This window comes from Homo sapiens, chromosome 13, assembly GCF_000001405.40.
Source record: "Homo sapiens chromosome 13, GRCh38.p14 Primary Assembly".
Classification (NCBI taxonomy): Eukaryota; Metazoa; Chordata; class Mammalia; order Primates; family Hominidae; genus Homo; species Homo sapiens.
Window position 1 is genome coordinate 46,690,086 of NC_000013.11, and position 20,888 is coordinate 46,710,973.

General features: G+C 39.3%; 1 protein-coding gene across 5 annotated transcripts in view; it reads left to right on the forward strand.

Moving 5' to 3' along the window:
- The window catches only part of LRCH1 (leucine rich repeats and calponin homology domain containing 1), a 199,872-nt gene that overhangs the window by 136,916 nt on the left and 42,068 nt on the right, over positions 1 to 20,888 (forward strand). For all 5 annotated transcript variants that reach the window (XM_017020483.2, NM_001164213.2, NM_001164211.2 and 2 more), the window contains exons 8-13: positions 2,451 to 2,556; positions 4,808 to 4,932; positions 9,251 to 9,318; positions 11,036 to 11,122; positions 14,983 to 15,072; positions 15,183 to 15,219. In XM_017020483.2, the coding sequence (XP_016875972.1) occupies positions 2,451 to 2,556; positions 4,808 to 4,932; positions 9,251 to 9,318; positions 11,036 to 11,122; positions 14,983 to 15,072; positions 15,183 to 15,219 (513 nt within the window). The remainder of the gene's footprint in view (positions 1 to 2,450; positions 2,557 to 4,807; positions 4,933 to 9,250; positions 9,319 to 11,035; positions 11,123 to 14,982; positions 15,073 to 15,182; positions 15,220 to 20,888) is intronic.

Here is a 20,888-nt window from a genome sequence, read left to right on the forward strand (position 1 = left end):
CCAATTCTCCTCAAGTCGTTGAATTTTAATAGGTAGCTAAGGTATTTGAATTTATTTTTCACAAAATACTCTATATAGCAGTATATTAAAAAGTGGGATTCTTTATCTTTAAAAATCCTTCTAATATAGAGCATTTTGAAAAGAAGAAGAGTTAGTAGGCAGAGAAGGCCAGTGTCAATAAAAGAAAATAACCCATAGGAAGGCACATGAATAGTTTACCGTGCTTCAGTGGGAGAGAGGGGATACTAAACACATTGCTTTAGTTGCATTTTAATTCATCCTCTTCAACTCCTAAGTCCTCGCAAATGGACCATTGTTTCAGAAATTACTCACCCTAAGTATATTTTCTGTTAAATTAAACAGACTCTGCTTTATCTCTCTTCTAAGGCTAATTAAACTCATTAATAAAACATTACATAAAGAACTTCATTATCCTTTTGTTGTCACTTAAGCATAAGTAGGATGCTAATATCATTCTAAAAGGAGCCCAAGGATTTATTCTGTGCCTTTTAATTAGATGCATATCTTTGGAATTTTGCTAAATTTTTAAGATGAGAGGTGGGTAGAAAGAGAAGGGAATACAGAAAAGATTATATTCAACAGAATGAAATGCACACATCTTGCCTTTGGCCTTTCCTTGTCTTATATTACAGCCTCCTTTCCTAAGTACACCTCCAAGAAATTTATTTTTTAGAGTGATAAGTGTTCCAAATTATCTTACATAGCTTCCTATTTTCACTTGGTTTGGCAAAGATTTTACCATCTATGATCAGGTGATCTTACTTCCCATTTAGATGACATTGTGGGGTTCAGGGATCACACCTCATTCTTTTTCTTTGGCTGCTGCCATTGATTGATTTAGCATTTGTCACTGAGAGATTAAAAACATCTTTTTATCAAGATAAACAGGAAAGTGTGGAGCTCTATGAATATTTGTTGAATGAATGAAATGCATGCCTAATTTCTGCCAGTTTCTAAACAATCTGTGCATATGTCCAAAAGTAAACAAGGACAGACTCTGAAAACCATACCTCAAGAACTTAGGAGCAAGCCACAATCTCCTGAAATGTGTTTTGTGGAGGTTCCTGATTTTTGAGATTTGGAAAGCTATTTCCTAAGTAGCAACAGTAAAATGGAGACATAGGAAAATAAACCAGGCTCCATATTTCAGAATCATAGGTTTTCTGAATAAACGTCATCAGCTACTGTGGGAAAGGAAGCCCTCAGAGAGAACTAATCCAATTATTAAAGCCGAAGCTTTCTTCCAAAAATCACACAGAGCAGTTCTTTTTAACTACTACAGTTGTTTAGCATTTTTATATATGTGATGCAGCTTCCTCAGCCTAAAACAGAGAAATAAAACAGGCACCCGTATTAGTTCATTCTTGTGTTGCTATAAAGAAATGCCCGAGGGTCGATAATTTATAAAGAAAAGAGGTTTAGTTGGCTTACAGTTCTGCAGGCTGTACACAAAGCATGTGACCAGCAACTGCTACTGGCAAGGGCCTCAGGGTTGAAGGTGAAGGGAGTGCCTCCTGTCACATGGTGACAGCCAGAGCAAGAAAGCAACGAGGTTGGGGGAGAGCAACGGAGGAGGTGCCATGCACTTTTTTTTGTTTTTTTAAGACGGAGTCTTGTTCTCTTGCCAGGCTGGAGTGCAGTGGCGCGATCTTGGCTCACTGCAACCTCTGCCTCCCGGGTTCAAGTGATTCTCCTGCCTCAGCCTCCCTTATAGCTAGGACTATAGGTGTGTGCCACCACGCCCAGCTAATTTTTGTATTTTTAGTAGAGATGGGGTTTCACCATGTTGGCCAGGATGGTCTCGATCTCTTGATCTTGTGATCCACCTGCCTCAGCCTCCCAAAGTGCTGGGATTACAGGTGTGAGCCACCACGCCTGGCTGATGCCATGTACTTTCAAACAACCAGATCTCACATGAACGCATAGCAAGAACTGCATAGACCCTTCTTGAGGTATCCACCCCCAAAACCCAAACACTTTCCACCAGGCCCCACCTCCAGCATTGGGGATTACATTTCAACATGAGATTTGGAGGGGACATACATCCAAACTGTGTATCAGTACCTGACAAGATTTCAGCTTAAAACAGAGAGAAGAAAACACAGAGAAGCCCATAAGTGTTAGCTCCATGAATTTTCACAATGTGAACACACCCGTATAACCAGCTTCCAGTTCAAGAAACAGAACTTTACCAGCACCCCAGAAAGCCCCACCCCGACCCCAAGAATAACCTCTTCCTAATTTTAAATACCATGGATTAGTTTTGCATTTTTTGAACTTACATAAGTGGAATTGACCTTTGTATCTGGCAACTTATATTCAATATGATATTTGTGAGAATCACAGGATGTTGTTTTATTACATAGCATTCTCCTTATCTACATTGATAACACTTCTCTTGAGTTAAACAGTGCACTGTATCTTTTTAGCCTTCTGACGAAGACACTGTTAGCCTCAATGTGCCAATGTCAAACATCATGGAAGAAGAACAGATCATCAAGGAGGACTCGTGCCATCGCCTTAGCCCCGTTAAAGGTCTGAGAATAAAAATGTGGAGAAAGTGCTTGTTTTTCAGTTTCAAATGTTATGTTTAAAATAACCTGTGCACAGATAGGGCAGTGATAATCTTTCTAGAGTATGTCCTATGTACCAGGTACTGTGTTCTTCTGGGAAGTTGAGCTGATTTAAAATTTAAAAGTCAAAGATGGATACTCTAATCATCTCCATTTTATAGGTGAGAAAACCAAGACTCAGAGAGTTTAAGTAACTTGCCATTGGTCACATAGCTGATGTGTGTGTAGTACTACTTCCTACGGTACATAGTAGAACTAATCTCATTCTGAAGACTTAGATAAAATTCTTTTTTTTTTTTTTTTTTTGACATGGAGTCTCGCTCTGTCTCCCAGGCTGGATGGAGTGCAGTGGCGTGATCTTGGCTCACCGCAACCTCCGCCTCCTGGGTTCAAGGGGTTCTCCTGCCTCAGCCTCCCGAGTAGCTGGGATTACAGGCACCTGCCACCATGCCCGGCTAATTCTTTAAATCCATTCTTGGAAAGAAAATATTGATATGATAGATATATTAGTTAGGAAAACTCTAGCTGCCGTAACATAGATTCCCAAATCTCTGTGGCTCAACACAATCCAAATTAAGTTCAAATGGAGTTAGTGATTGGCAGACAACTCCCCTCTGAGTATTGATTTAAGGACCCAAGCTCCTTTCATACCATGACTCCATCATCTTTAACACAGGCCTTCCAAAACTTTCATGTCCATCTGTTTTAAGCCAGAAGAAGAGCGTGGAGGTTTGCTCGTGGGAGGTTTTTATGGACTGGGTCTGGAAGGAGTGCCCATCACTGATAAGCTAGACTTCATCCCATGGCCACATCGCACTGCACATGAGGGTGGGAAATGTAGTTGAGGTGTGTGTTCAAGAAGCTACTTGACTTTGGCCCAGTCAGGTGACCTTGATTCCCTCACCTGTACATGAGATGATTAGATTAGGTAATACCAAAGGTCCAGTGTAGCTTGAAAATTCTGTGGCTCTTTAATAATCATCAAATGACCACTAAACACTGTCTTGTGTGCCTTCAAGATCCTTGTAATACGTTTCATATCTTGGTTGGAAGCCCTCATTGGGTAACATTAAGGCGATTTTTTGATTGCCCCTGTTTCCCCATGACTTTTAAGGAAAATACAAGCATTTAGTTTTACTCATTTGTGGCAGAGACTGTTTCACAGTGTATAAATAGTGCAGAACTGGATTAATATACAGATCTTCTCATAAATAGTTGGAATTTGCTCTTATTCATGATAGGAGAGCTGTTTAAGTTCACTCAAACCTTAGTGTTGGCTTTCACTTCTTACACTTCGGTTTTTAAGTTTAGCATTTCTGTTTACCTGAGATTATCATGGGAACCATATGTTGTCTAAAAACATAGCTGTATGCTTTATATACAAATATAACTGCCACTTTATTAATTCATATAAAGTTAGTAATATTATACACTGTAGGAGGTAGTATTTTAGGCAAATTTTTCAAATAAAAGAATTATGTAATTTGTTACTAGTGGGTGTTCCCCCTCTCGTCTAGATGTGGGTATTGCATTGGCTCAGAGTGTTTAAAGGGTGGCCCAGTATGGTTCTTTTTCATCTTCAGAACAGTTGGAAGAGTTCTGCAGGGTGTTCCTTTTGCTCCCCCACCTCCCCTGGAACACATTCTAGGTGGAAGTGCCACATCTGGGCATGCTGTCACCTCTGTGTGGCCCTTCTTGTAGACACTTCTTTTGCTGTTATGATTTGGGGCTCTTGCCTAGTTCCCCTCCCACATTCTTCCTTGAGATTATTTGCTGTTTAAGGACAGGAGTCAGATTTGGCTGATTTTTTAATCCCTAAAATGTTTAGCATAATACCTGCCATTTAGTAGCTGCTCAATATTTGTTGGATTTTAAATATGAAATACATAGTAACATATTACTGAGGGCAAAAAAGCCTCTTTTATACTTTCTTTTCTCCATTCCTTAAAAAAGTAAGAGAAAATCTAATTTTTCTCATAGGGAACTGAGCCCAGAGAGGCCTTGACTTTTTAAGCTCAGTTTGGGGCTTTCTGGGGTTATTTTATTTTTATCTTTTCCTCCCTGCAGGGAAGAGAAAACTTGGGTTTTTCATATACCTTCTTCATAGGGAACACAGAAGACTTGAAGTGATTAGATCATATTTGAAGATCAGCTGTGTTTTGCTCTTCTGTTCATGAAATCATGCTTTCCATCTCTCTATATTTTCCTAATAGGGGAATTTCATCAGGAATTTCAACCGGAGCCTTCCCTTTTGGGTGACAGCACCAACTCAGGAGAAGAAAGAGACCAGTTTACTGATAGAGCAGATGGTCTCCATTCGGAATTTATGAACTATAAGGCAAGATTTTCAGGATCAACTACGTTTTTTTACTTATTTCCTTCTGTTTGGCACCGTACAATTTAAGTTGAAGGTTGCCAATCCATCCCCTTCAATGTCCAGCTTGCTGCACCCTCCCTGAAGCGTTCCAAACATCTCAGCGCTCAGCGTGTCTATTTGCTGATGTGAGGAGCTGGTCCCTGCCCTGTGTGCCTCTCCATTTGTCTGTTTATGGATCTGATTTTCTTTCCGCTACTCAGTGCATCGTACAAATTAGCAAACTCATTAGTGTGACCATTGCCACGCAGTAAAAGCTGAAATAGTTTCACATTCTTTTCAACATGTTCTAGGTAAATCCTTTTCTTGGGAGTATATTTATAGTGTGAAGACAAAAGTGGAGACTTTTAAAATTGATAAATGAATGTCTTTCCTTTTTGGAAAGATCTCTCTGAGGACACTTATTCCTGAACTTTTGTAGGTGCCCCGAGGCATTGAAAGGACAGGTGAAGTTGCCGAGTTGTCAGGAAAACCTTCATCTTGGCAGCAACAAAGGGAGGAAAGAAAAATTAGCCCTTTACTGAAGCAGATACTGAAGGTTCTACTTCACAACCCGATTAGGTGCTTGGTATGTTTCTGCCAGCCCTTTTGGTTCAGGTTGTGGTGCCCAAGAATCATAAAGATTATTGTTTTTGTAAAATTCAGATTCACTGTGGCTTCGAGGTAACTTCTGAGTTATTATGTTGAAGCCAAGAATGGGATCCCTAAGTACTCATCTTTATTTTCTGAGCATTGTGTCCTGATGGCTGGACCCAGCCTAAATTAACATCTCTGGGCATCACCTTCAAGGAAATGGAGAGGAAAACAGCTGAATTTTACACTGTAGGAGACCTTCGTGTGCTCAGGACATGTTTATGGCCTCCAGATAAAAATAATGAACGTGACATATGTTTATAGATTACAGAAGTTGTGTAGAAGGATAAAACACAGTCTTAACTCTTTACTTGCTATATTTAATGTCATTAATCCATACATCCTTGTTTTAAAATAGGTCACACCCATTGCCTTGTTTCTGTCCCCTGTCTCCATTGACATTGCTTCATTTGAGCCTCATAGTTTCTCACTTTGATTACTTCAGGCACCACCCCGCCCACTCCACTTCTTACCCAATGCTGCACCCGCGTGCATGCATGCATGTGTGTACACACACACACACACACACACACACACACACACACACTCTTTATATTCTGCCACCAAACATTTTTCTAAAGTGCAAATCTAATGACATTCCTCTCAGGCCACTGGTTCTACAAGGCTTCCCCAGATTAGACCCTATCTATCAGCTCTGTGGGACGATTCTTCCATGAAAATGTGAAAATTGGAGTATATCGAGCATTCATCTTAAGTTAAGAATCTAAGGTAAAGATGGAAACCCTGAAGAATGTGTTAAGAAGATATCAATATTTAAGTTCTAGAGGAAACAAAGCAGTTAGTAAGAATAAAGCGTATTGTTTCAGGAAAGCAAATTTCCCTGGATTCAGAGATTTCAAGGACTTCCTGGAAATGGCTGCCCTACAGAATGGGTCCTGTAGATGGAAACTAGAGGAGCAGATAGGCGTGTGGAAGTCAACTTGGCAAAGGCTTTCTGGAAGATACTTCTCTTGGAAAATCAAAAGAAAAATGTTAATGATAAAATGAACATCTACAACAAGTTAAGGAAAAATTGTGCTTGAAAATCAGGCCCGTATTAGGCTTGATATCCATCAACTTTAAGTCTTTCAACCTGTGCTTGGCCTGGCGGAGTGAATCACACCTGTAATCCCCCACTTTGGGAGGCTGAGGCAGGAGGATCACTTGAGCCCAGGAGTTCAAGATCAGCCTGGGCAACATACTAAGATTCCATCTCTACAAAAAAACAAAAGCTAGCTGGGTGTGGTGGTGTGCTCCTTGAGTCTCAGCTACTCAGGACACTGAGGAGGGAAGATCACTTGAGCTTGGGAGAGTGAGTCTTCAGTGAGCCATGACTGCACCACTGCACTCCAGCCTGGGTGAAAGAGTGAGACCCTTTCTCAGAAAAACAGAGTTCTATGCTTTACATAATCCTGTTTTCTTTACTGAATAAGCATCTTGGACCTTTGCAACCACAGTCAATTTTCATTATTCACAGCAGTTATGTTGTGTGACATCACTGTGCATATCGAATTATCCAATACTGAGCCCTAACTCACTGGGGAAATAGAGGGCTGGGTTCCTGCACCCTCTGCTCACAACGTTTTTGTCAACCAATCAGCACACAACCTTGGTGTGTGTGTATTTCTGTTTAAAGATACCTTATTTAATATATATTGTTTTGATGAACATTACAACCATACCTTATTTAACATATATTGATTGATGAACATTACAACCAACAGCACTGTAACTCATGCCCGAAGGAAGCTTGTCTAACACACGTATTGTCCTCTGTAAGGCATATCACAACTTCCTTGGGCTTCTGAACACAAGGCAGCACTTCAGTACTATGTCTGGGGCCATTTTAAAGTGAAATCACCAACAAAAAACACAACAGTGTGAAAACATGGCACTAACTAGACTGTGAAAAAGGACACTTATTTACAATAAGAGAGCTGAAAGAAGAAAGCAGAGTGTCACCTTGTTCCACCTCATCTGGGAACATACACATCCTGGGACTCAAATTTTTTACCACTCTGTAGATGTCTGCAGATGACCTCCAGAGCACCACGAATACTGGTTTTGGGACTAAAAATACATGTTGGTGAATAGGCAAATTCACAAATGCAGAATCCACAGATAATGAGGATCAACTGTAAAACCATTTAGCTTAGCAAAAGCAACCCAGTACGCCTGTTTTGCCTAATGAAAAAAAGAGACATTTTATACTATTGGCTACTTTTAGTTGTGAAACAAAAAAATAAAAAGAAATACCCTTTGCTTCTATCATTGAAACCCAACAAAACGAAGTAAGAACACGTTGTCTTGGTCATTTCTGGTAGTATATTTTTACCCATGAATTTTTCTGTCATTTGGAGTGTGGAGAGTGGCACAGTCTTTTATACGTTGACTGTATTGTACATGAAAAGTATAATCACTACAGAAAAAGTCCAAGTGTGTTCCCAGCCAGAGTCCAGCATTGGGCAGCTAGCCATGTCCTTGGGAAAAGTCTTGTCCTAACAACACATCTGGAGGACTGGCTGGTCCCCAGTTAGCTAATGATATGCCAGAACCTTGACACCAAAAATGGTCCTTTTGGCTGGTGTTCTCTCCTAGCTAGGGAAATGTGGCCCTATTCAGGCTGGCTTTCATTCTAGCCATGAGCTGGGTTAAAGCAGCGTTTCTCTGTGTCAGAGATGAACGTGCAAGGAGGCCTGTGGAAGGCTCATGGTGGTACATGACTTTCCAAATAGCCAGTGTCACTACATTGCCGCTTTGGGAAAAAGTGGGGTGACAGTGCAGGGAGAACATTTGAGTGATTCTGGATGTTGTACACGTGAAAACTATTAGATGCAATCAGAAGCACTTTTCTGTTGTTAAGAATGTTACACTTTCTCTTTTCCCCACTACACACATATGCGTGCACACTCACACTTAAACACACATCCCTGCTCTCACAAACACTAGGATGCATCTTCACAGGTGACCCACAAGCACAGGAGAGGGATCTCTCAATACAAGAAGGTGCTAAAAGGGCAATAGGAAATCCAGTAAAGCTTTAAATTTCTGATGATAAGTTAACAGATGCTGTGGTCTTGGGCCACATTTTTTTAAATTTAAAAATGTTTAATTATGGGAAAATACTTACAAAATGTACACCTTAGCCATTTTTTAAATGTACATGTAGTTCAGAGTGTTTTAACTACATTTACGTTGTGCAGCCTATCTCCAGAACTCTTCTCACTTGCAAAACTGACCCTGTGTACCCTTTAAATAACAACTCCCTCGTTCCTTCCCGGCAGCCCCTGGCAGCAAGCATTCTGCTTTCTGTCTGGATGAATTTGATTACTGTAGACACCTCATATAAGTGTAATCAGTACAGTATTTGTATTTTTGTGACTGGCTTATTGCACGTAGCATAATGTCCTCCAGGTTTATCTGTGTGTATGGCATGCATGAGAATTTCCCCCTTTCTAAGGCTGAGTAATATTCTAGTGCATGTACATACCAGATTTGTTTATCTGTCCCTCCATAGATGGCTGTTTGGCTTGTTTCCAGCTTTTGGCTATTGTGAATAACGCTGTTATAAACATGGGCTGGGCAGGTTTTGGCTCCTGACTACTGAGTAGCCAATGGTTTTCAGGAACCCTGTGTGTTTTGTCCACAGGCAAGGGCAGAAGACTGTGAAGAGCTGTTACGGATAGAAGAGGATGTGCACTGGCAAACTGAGGGCATGTGAGTGCCGAGGCCTTGGTTACAAGCCATCATCACTCAAATCCACTTTGCAAGCAGTCTGGCAGTTCTGTTGTGATAGAATTTTGACCTGCTTTTCTGTGGGCAAGCTGATATTCTTACAGACAATATTGATAAGAAGTTGCCAGTTTTTCTCTGTCTGATGCTTTTTGTCGTGGTATTGGGCAGTACAAACCTCTTACTTGGCCTTGAGTCTTATTTGTTTTGAGGTTGCGGGTAGTAATGTGATTTCAGAGAATTAGCTAGAATTTCTAGATTGGAGGTTCTACCATCCATACAATTGCCTGAAGAAGCCAACAGCTGGGCCTGAAGTGATCTGTAGCGCTGATCTCCTTCTTTACCCCAAGTCATCCCCTTCAAGATCTGAGAACACCGTAGACTTCTGGTCCCAAGACTTCTAACTGCCAGAGCTACCATTTATTCAACATCATGTGCCAGGCATTGTCCTAAATACTTGACAGGCCATAACTCATTTCATCTTTACAACACTCCTAACAGATAAGTTCTGTTCTTGTCCCGCATTTCACAGATGACGAAACTGAGGCACAGAGAGATTGATTATCTTGCCGCAAGGTCACAGAGGGCCAGCATTTGAACCCAAGGAATCTTGTACCAGACAGATAATCCTTCTACTCTATTGTGTATAAATATTTATTTAGCAAGATTTACAGGGGAGGGGGTGTGTGATCCCATCAGACAATGAATCATGTCCAGGGGAATTGAGTTTGGACTGTGTGACATAGAGTATAGTTTTTGTTCCCAGGATTTTTATTTCTATAATCTGGGAGGCAGGTGTTGACTCTCCATCATACCTTGCAGGGTTTTTCTTCTTAGTGAGGATTTATCCCATTGTTAAAACTTTTCTCCTTACAGAAAGTCATTGGCTTACATTCTATGGTGGGAAGGGCTTGCTGTGATCAAATCTCTCTTGCCCTTTAAAAACGTTGGAAAGTTCCTCTCTGGTCACGGTCTGTATTACCAGCTACTCACTGGATATGCTGCTGAGAGCCACGGAGGCCTAGCTTGATTAAACAATCAGAGAATCATAGGGAAAGAGGCACTTGTTTTTAAACTATATAACGGTTTGGAAACTCCATTCTCAATCTCATACCTAGTGCTTTCAACCCTGGCTGTAAAGGATTATCTGTAGAGCTTTATAAAATGCTGAACTCCTAGTCAGACCCACTTGGACATATAGGGCCTGGCATGTTTTTTAAGCTCCACAGATGATTTTGCTGCATCTAGAGTTTGGACTGAGAACCACTGTCCCACACTGAAACCCTATATGCATGAAAGTAATAAAACTGGTTGAACGGGAGTTGGAAGGCCCAGAAGTAGTACAGACTCAGCCAGGTGATCCCCTCCATGCAGCCCCCTAGAACTCAGTAAAGCACAACGGTGAAAGCCTCTCATCTAGGCCATTGCCTGACTGTGCACAGGGGCAGTTAGGGGTGCACAGGCATGAAAATCTTATGTGAGCTGCTTTACAGCAGAGCTGGGCTTCCCCTACTCGGGCTCTTCCCACCGTGCTCTGCCATCCCACCCCACAAGGTACAAACACATTTTCACCATAACACTGAATCTGTCGAAATCATTTTCATATGTTAGATGGATTTTTGTAAGTTTGCTTTTTAAGAAATTAGATGATATTCATGTTGTATTGATCGTTTTCATTCTTATGCTTGGTTTCACGTTACAGAATAAGTTCATCCAAAGATCAGGACATGGATATAGCAATGATCGAGCAGCTGAGAGAAGCAGTAGATTTGCTGCAAGATCCCAATGGGTGTGTATGTCTCCTTGGTCCAGGTTTCATGTGTAAATAATGCATACTAATGTATGGAGTACATTGTCTAAATTCCTAAAATACCTACACAGACGATTTTGGCCCAGTCCAGCTACTAACAAAGAAAAGTCATGTTTATTGCCTGTTTTCCCAAGATGCAAAAGTAAAAGAGTCAAACTTCTGGAGGGAGTGAGATCAATTTCCCCTTTCACCACCCTTTATTGAGTTCATTCACCCCTCATGAAGTTCATATGGGAGTTTTTGGTAAAATTCTTAGAAAACAAAAATATGGTAAAAGTGCATGTTTTATATTGCTTAAAGTTTAAACCCCTGATTTATAAAAAATATAAAGAAAATGTTTTCCAAAAAGGAAAGAATTGGTATATCAAGTAGTACTGTATTTATATGGGGTAGTGCCAAATATATGTTAACTGAAGAATATATTTCTAAAGATTTGGGATACAGGATAATTTTAAAATCTGAATTTGCCTTGATCGATAATAGGCACTACATTCAGTGGATATGTGGATAATATTTTTCGATTTCTTAACTAATGGTAATGGAATTCCCATGGACAAAATATTTTTCAGCTAAACAATAGCAGGTATCATGTATCGGGTAATAACTACATGATCTCTAGAGAACTAGAGGACTTGGTAAACTGATGTGGTCTTATAATATGATGAACACGGGAATCACACGCAGCAATCCTAGCTGGGTTCTGCAAATTTATGAAAAGCGTAGTTAGTGTATCCCAGAATGCTGATGAGAATATACCACCTATGATGTCTGGCCCTGAAAGAATAGTGGCGGATCAGTTTAGTACAGCTGGAAGTCTTTTGCAATTGATTTGAAAAACATTTCAATTCTGCAGACATTAATTGAGTGCTTGGAGTATGGGAAGATCTGCAGTGTGCACCTTGGGGGATGTAAAGATGGACAAGACACAGCTCTTGCTTTCTGAGAATTTAGAATAGATAGAGATTGCCTTGAGAAGTTATAAGTGTAACTGGGCCAGGCGCGGTGGCTCACACCTGTGATCCCAGCACTTTGGAAGGCCAAGGCAGGCAGATCACTTGAGGCCAGGAGTTCGAGACCAGCCTGGCCAACATGGTGAAACCCTGTCTGTACTAATAATACAAAAATTAGCTGGGCATAGTGCCATGCGCCTGTAATCCCAGCTACTCAGGAGGCTGAGGCAGGAGAATCGCTTGAGCCCAGGAGACAGAGGTTGCAGCGAGCCGAGATCGTGCCACCACACTCCAGCCTGGGTGACAGAGTGAAACTGTGTCTCAAAAAAATAATAATAAAACAAATAAATAAATAAATAACTGTAATTGATTCAAGTGCTTCAAGTGGAGGTAAAAAGGATAGACTCGAGCAAGTGCCCAACCCCAGGAAAAGGGGAGATGGGTGGACTGGTCTTCCTGAAGGATAGGATAATGGCCTGGACCTTTAATGACTGCCAATTTCAAGAAAAAGAGAAATTCTGGATTGAATGAAAGGCTTAGGTAAAGGCATGAAGGTCAGAATGAATGGAGCCAGGTTGGGAAAATCTCAGGCAGAACAGAGGCTCTCCATCCTAGTGTGCTTCAGTATCACTTGTAGAACTTTTTCAGAACAGATACCAGGCACTTCCTTTGGGGACTGGAGTCAGCCAGTGCTTCTGATGTGCAGCCAGGACTGCGAATCACCAGAGACAGTGTAGAATGATGCAGGCGATGGCTTTGGATGTTGTTAAGGAGCTGAGATTTTAATTTATATTTAGAGGGAGGCAATGATGGTGTTTAAACATGATTATTCATGTTGTTAATTCTCCCTTATGTTTGGCTCGTGGCATAGGCACCTAATCAAGGTATGTTCAAAGAGTTGAATTCTACATCCCAAGCCGGGGCAGTTAGTGAAAGGGCAGGAAACAGGACAGGAGAGCCTGTATGTGTGTTTACGTGTATCCATGCATGTGTATGGTTGTTCATACATGTATGTTAGTACATGTAGGCATGTGCACCCGTGTACATGTATTCATTATAACGAATCAGGAAGTAGTGTGGCTTGTAGAAAGAACAGACTTTGAATTAGCTAGAAACTTTTTAAACATAGCTGCACCATCAGTTAACTTGGGTAAGTTGTATGACTTCTCTGCATCCCATTTCTTCATCTATAAGAGGGGGTGACAAGTACCTACCTTTTAGGGTTATGAGGATTTGAAATAATACATAAACTGCCGGTGGAGAAGTAAATTGGCAAAACCATTCTAGAAGTAACTTAGTATGTAACCAAGTCTAGAAACATATAAAACTTCGGAGTGAAATCTAAGAACTTATCCTAAGAGACAAGAAGACGTGAACAATTTGGGGAATTTGGGGTAGAGAATGAGGGGTAGGTATTTTTAATAGCAAATATTTGGAAAAAGAAATTATCTAACAATTTGGGGATACTTTAAGTATATTATACTCTTTGATAAGACAGAATGTGATGTGGCCAATATAATGTTTTTTAAAGTTTCTAGTGATATCACAGAATGCTTTTATACTTTTAAAAAAGTATATAACTTTTTTAAAGTATGTAAAAACGCACAATGTTTGGTCCCAATTATATAGATAGAATTAGGTACCAATTGTGCAGGAAATTTAGAAAAACTGGAAGGAAATATATTAAGATGGATTTTAAGAAGGAAATATATTAAAATGGAAGGAAATATATTAAAATGGAAGGAAATATATTAAGATAGTGGAAGAAAACATTCCCAACTAACCTTCCAAGTGACACTTGATTTGCATCTTTATGGAGCACTATTTTAAAATACTATGTTGTAAAATTTTATATGGATTCTTTCATTTTCTTTCTAAAATAATCCACTACTTTGGCTGCTTTAGATCATTGTTATTTATCCTGAAATAACTATTATAATATGACATCTAATTTTATAATAGTTCTGTGAGCCAGTTTAATAGTCATGAAAAGCCCTGGTTTTGTTTTGGATATAGAGAGGACACTTGAAGATGTCATTTATTTCTAACTACTTTGGGGCTGAATATTAGTAATAAAAAAGTTTACATACACATTTTGTTTTTTCTTTTATCTCACATTTCATAGATCCAGGAATTTTTTTCTTTTTTAGTTAAGCCATTGATTGTGGGATTAAATTTTTCAAGTTTACCTTTTATGCATCAGAAAATTTAGTTGGCTATTGCTGTTCTGTCTTTATCTTGATTTCTTCTCTTAAGGCCTTCTGATTGTTAGTTTGACAGCATTTTCATAGGCCTCTATAATATAAATGCATCCCTGTTTAAGATGACTTTGTAAATTTTATATAACTTACAGAAATTCCTGGCTTTATAGGTCTTTAAGAACAAAAAATCTTCATCTCTTAAAATAGCAGAAATTTAGAAACTGTTTGAGACTATTTCAGAAGTAAAAATGCATATCAAATTGCTTATGATTTTTTTAAGTGAGAGATATAATGTATATCTCCCTATTAAAACCAAATGCCATTGGTACATATACTATAATGTAATACTCTCAGCAACTTGACTTGCTTCTGTAAATTCATAAAGTTCTAAAATAAAATTTAGTATATGCTATACTACCTATGAAAATTTTGATTTTATTAGAAATTACTATTATATTACAAACAAGTTGGATTGTATTACCAATAGCAGATGGAATATTATATTTTGGCATGCAGTGGGAAAATACCATGCACTTTGAAATTTCTGTCATAAACTTTTCCTCACTTAATCCTAAAGATAAACATAACTTTTTAGTAAATTAAAAATTTAAACTGAATAAGACCAATAGAATTTATTAAAAATAAAAGTTTAATACGTTTACTAATATCTTTTTTTCCTACTCTTTAGATTAAGCACAGATATTACAGAGAGAAGTGTTTTAAACCTATATCCTATGGGATCAGCAGAAGCCTTAGAATTACAAGATTCTGCACTGAAGTATGCTTGCCTTTTATAACAAATTATGTTTTCTCTTTTCATAATACATTGACATTTCTATGCTTTAAATTTCACTTTGTATCTTTTTTTTTCTTTCCTTGTTCTCACAGTGGTCAAATACAGCTGGAGACATCTCCGGTGTGTGAGGTAAGGCTGCTGGTAGATTCACCAGAACTCTGTGCAATATTTTGCCATGGAATACTGGCCACCACATTCTGTAAAGATTTGTCAGGGAGTGAAACATCTTTATTAATGAGGCCAATATTCAGATTTGTTCAGGACACATTTTTCAACTTGTTTATACGTTTGCCTCTTTAGTTCTGCTTTTCTGCTATACCTCACCCTCTGTTGAAGATGAGAGTTGGCTATTTCTATTAGATTCTGTAGATTTTTTTACCTCAGATCATCTTGCTGAGTCAAGCGATGGCAACTAAAATACATAGGGAATCTGCCTGTGTGTCAGAACCTGGAGGAGGACCATTCAATGTAGATTTTAGAGCCAAGAAAAGGTCTGGGAATTGGCCAGATGGAAATTAGCTAGAAAACACCTGAAAGACAAGAACAAATTATTTGGGAATGTCGAGGAGGATTGAGAGAATATCATGAAGAGAAACTGGTGGTGATATTTGAAGACAGGGTAAGGATGGGTTCAGTAGAGTTACATGGAGTGAAATTTGGATGGCTGTAAAGAAAGCAGTTTTGACATAACACTAGAGATGACCTTAGAATGTCCTAAAGCCAGAATGTTACCCCAGGATTAGAGAGAGAAGTTCGAGCTGGTGATTTGGGAATGAAACATAGGCTACAACCCATTTCCTGAATGGATTTAGGATGGCTAATTTAGGCACCAAGATTGTGTACAAACACCTTATGCCCCACTGAGGTGTTTGCACATGTACTATAGTAAAGCGGTTTCACGCTCTTAACTTTGTCTCTATGTTAAAGAAATAAGGAAAAGGGAAGTATTAATGTAAAAGGGAAAGCCATGTTGCTAGAGAGTGTGGTTTCATTGTTAAGCGCAGCGACTTGGAATTATATTAGGTATCAGTCCCATCTCAAAGACTGGCTAACTGTGGGGAACTTAACCTCTCTAAACATTCATTACTGTAATTGGGATCATAATACTACCTATTGTAAAGATCGAATTAGGAATTCTGATTCAGAAAATGTCACATAATATAGGGTACCTAAATGTTAGCTATTAGCTTACTTCTCTATTATTGTTATTGGTGTGGCCTTTAAACAGAATTACTGTACCACCTCTTCCCTGGGTGGAGGCCTCATTGAATTACCCAATAGTGGGACATTGGAAGTCTTTTATTTGCAGTCTCCCCTGGACCAATTTCATCAAGCTCTTCCTTTGAGATTGATTTTGGTTCTGTGCAGACTTAACCTCTTTTTTAGCTTCTTATTTGGAAATAATTTTTTTAATTTAATTTTATTTTTTGAGAGATGAGATCTCGCTTTGTTGCCCAGGTTAGTCTCAAACTGCTGGCTTCAAGCGATACTTCCTCCTTAACTTCTCAAAGTGCTGAGATTACAGGTGGCTCACACCTGTAATAATAATTTTAAACATGAAAATAATTTTAAACTTATAAAAGTTGTAAAAATTTGCAGTGTTCTACAAAAGCTTGCAAAAATGATAATCTTGTAAAATTAGATTTACTAGTAACATTTTATCACATTTGTTATATTTGTTCTCTTTCTCTCTCTCTCTCCATACACACAGTTCTTTTTCTGAAACACACACAATTCTTTTGCTGAAAGTAAGTTTCACACATCATAGTCCTTTATCCCTAATCATTTTAGTGTGTGTTTTCTAAGAATATGGATTTTTATCTTACACAATCAATTTCAGTTATCATCTTCATAAATTCATGGTGATAACATATTTTCATCTAATCTATCACCCATCCTCCAAATTTGTGAGTTAATCTAATGATGCTCATCAGAGCATTTTTTTCCTTTCAGTGTAAGATCCAGTTTAGTTGCAGATACTGCATTTGATTGTCAGGTATCTATAACCTTCTTTTATCTGGAACATTTCCATGACCTTTCTTTGATTTTTATGACCTTGAAATTTTGAGGAACACAAACCTCCTCCTTTTTAATAGAATGTTCCTCATTTTGTGTCTGTCTAATGTTTCCTTATCAGTTTGAACTTCTGCATTCTGATTTCGAATACTGCACAGGTGATGTTGTGACCATCTCAGGGCATCACATTTGGGGCCACACACTATGTCCATCTTTCCCTCTTTGGTGATGTTAATTTATCACCCAATCAAGATATAAGTCCATTTCTCCACCGTGTAATTGCTGTTTTATTTTTTCGTTGCAACTAACAAGCAGTCTGTGACAAGATAGTTCAAGACCATCTTAGCATCCAGCTGCAGACCCACTTTTGACTCTAGTAAAATAGATGGCCACCTGTTTGCATGATTTCAGGAGCACAAGAAAGACACAAAGCTTCTGGAATAAAGATATATCCCCTCCATTTTTAATACACAATTGGATGGTCATTCCAATAATTTTGTCTTCTAAGATGTATATATTCCTGAATTTTTTTTAAAAAGGAAGTATTGTTACATGCCAGATCATGTGCTTTGTATATTACATAAGTTATCGTTATTTCATTTCTTCAATAAATATTCGTTGATTGCCTCCCATGTGTCAAGCACCACTCTGGACACTGAGAAAGTAGCATTAAAGACACAGAGGTCCTACACTTACGAGTTTACATTCTAGGTAAAGGTATAAGTGAAAAGTGCATCCTGAGTGATGATGCAGGATTTGAAGCTCAAGGTCAAGTGACTGGCCAGTTCAGTTACATGTAAAAGGCGTGGCCCTGCTTTCCCACTGTGGTATATTGCCTCTTCATGCTGTAGACTAGTGGCAGCACTAAGTCTTGTCATGCTTACAAACCTTAGTGATGCCTGATTGCATCAAACCTTTTCTTCAGAGCAGATCTTGGCAGAAGAAGAGCGGCCATTATACTTATGTGTGCATGAACAATGCTTCCAGTAATGTGAATGGGTATGGAAGGAATAAGGGATGGGTATATACTAAATATAGACTGAGCCCAGTTCATAGTTTTGTCTAGGTCTAGTTTTCATCCCATCTTTTTTTTTTTTTTTTTTGAGGCAGAGTCTCGCTCTTGTCGCCCAGGTTGAAGTGCACAATCTCGGCTCACTGCAACCTCCACCTCGTGGGTTCAAGCAATTCTCCTGCCTCAGCTTCCTGAGTAGCTGGGATTACAGGTGCCCGCTACCATGCCTGGCTAATTTTTGTACTTTTAGTAGAGACAGGGTTTTGCCACGTTGGCCAAGCTGGTCTCAAACTTCTGAGCTCAGGTGACCTGCTCACCTCAGCCTCCCAAAGTGCTGGGATTTCAGGCATGAGCCACTGCACCCAGCCTGATCCCATCTTTTAATCTAATAGCAATACATGCGCTGATTTACTAACTACCCAATTCCAATGGTTATTAGAAATTGCTATTGTTATTCAACATTTTGGTGGTTTGGGAAGGAATGTTTAAATGTCACATTTCCTTAATATCAGCCCAAGACTGTTTTATTTGGAGCTTCCTCCCATTTTCCCATCAGCAAAGGTGAACTCTATCTTTGCAGTCAGTTCTAGATTTTCAAAATGGATTCGTACTTATTGATCTCCTCTTTATTTCTCCTGTTGTTTGTCTTTCTCATTGCATAGCACAAACACTTAGCATTCTCACTTGAAGTGGGACCCGACTCAGTACCTAACTACTACACAGTGAGTAGTTCGTGAGGATTCCTGGAAGGGAGGGAAGAAGAGAGGGAGAGAGATAGGAAATTAGATGATGAGGATTAGGCTTTGGTAAGCAAATTTCAGTGTACTGCTTATTTGATGTACAGATCTCTGGGTCTTAACTGATAGCTGCAAACACTCCATCATTTAGGTAAAGTGTATATTATGTCCCTTTAAATTCATTTCCTTGTGTTTGTCTAAATTGAAAATCATCTGACACTTTTCCACATGCTCATAAAGCTTCATGGGTTTTTCCTGAAGTTTAACCATGCTTGCTACCATTATATTATGTGGAAAAGCCTAATATCCTCCTAAAGTAGGAAACTTGACTTCCAAGTCATATATCAATCATTCAGTCAGTTGGCCCAGCCCAGCTTTCCCTCTAATGATGAGTCTGTTTGTTCCATCAGCCAAGGCCATTAAGCCTGTAGGTGTTGAGCTGCAGCTCTGCACAGGTCCTGTGCTCAGTGCTGTGAGGGCCTCCCTGCCAGCTACTGCACCCTTGCCTCCAGAGTGAATTTTCTGCTCTAATTGGGCAGATTGTATTACTCCTCTGTACTCACAGAATGTACCAGGTCCAACCTTCCTTAGCACCTTTATTTTAGCATGCTACTTAAAATGTCTTTGAGCTTTCACTCTCATAGAGTTTTAAAAACGCATATATACCTGTGCCCATGATTTCGGGAGTCCCTAGAAGACAGAAAACCTCAAGAAAAAAAAAAGATACTTTTATTCTATCCCCAACTTACAATGTTTTGTGTTATTTTAACATAAGGTTGATTTTTTTTTCTTTTTTGGCTGAAGGAGGAGTATTTGGTATAAGGAATTCTCACTCCTTGTTTTCCTTCTGTAGGGCAATTATCTGTCCTTGGCAGATACATCTCTATGATTTTAAAAAAGGAGGGGAATAGCTGGCCCTGATGGAAAAAGGAAGTCACAAGGAAAAGAAAAGAGAGTAGTGAATTCACAGGGCCAGTGATAAGGATTATGGAGAGCTAAAATATGATCCTTACTTATGATTTGGTTATTTTTATATTCTTTCTTCTGTCTCATTCAAGCAGAAAGTAACATCTTTCAGCATAGCCCTATATTAATTCACCAGTATTTGTTGAGTGCCTGTGCTAGATTCAGCCTTGTTTTTGTGTAAAGGACTGGAAGATGAAGGCTATGAAGTTGCCCTCACTTTAGTGAATTTTTTTTTAATTGTGGGGGTAAGATTTAGATGTTGAAAAATTTGCAGAAGAAATAAGATGGTCTGCAGTCCTGAGCTTGTTTTAGGTGCTCAGGGACACTGGGGAAGGGGTAGAGTTTAAGGAGAGGAAAGTAAACTTAGACTTTGGGCATTTTTGGGTTTGGCCCTGTAGCCAGGAGGCTATGTTGAGCAAGACACCGTGGCTGTGGGGGATCAGCTCTGTGTGAGCCACACGGAAAGGGGAGGCCAGGATTATGAAGCGGTTTGTAATTGGTGGCACATCACGTGATCTGACTTTAAACATACTTTAGGTGACTGTCCACATCAAGTGTGGATGGCACTGGCATCCATGCAGGAAGAATTGCAAATTGCATGGCTCATACATAAATATCGAACGGGGAAGGGTCTGCGAGACGATAGGACAAACTAGAGGAAAGAATTGCTTATAGAAAGAATCAAACCTGAAGTTACTTGTTAGCAGCTCTAACAAAGCCATTTGATTGAATAGGGATATTTGTGACATTTTATTCTAAAAATATGGTTTCCTCTTGGATTTGTGTCAAAGGTGGGAAGATTTTTAAATAGCACTCCTCAACAATGAATAGGAACAGGCATCTTAAATGTACAATAATTTGGTGGCATATATGAAGGTGTTTTTATATGAGCTAACGCCCAATTTTTTATTAGGGAGGATCAGGGGGTTCTTGACTACCTTATAAAGAAGGCAGATCTGGGTAAGAAACTAGAGTGTGTCCCTTGTGGGCTCCTTGTTTCTGCGTGTCCCTTTCATGCTGGTTTTACAAGATTTTGCTCTCAGCCACTGTCCCTCAATTTCTTCACT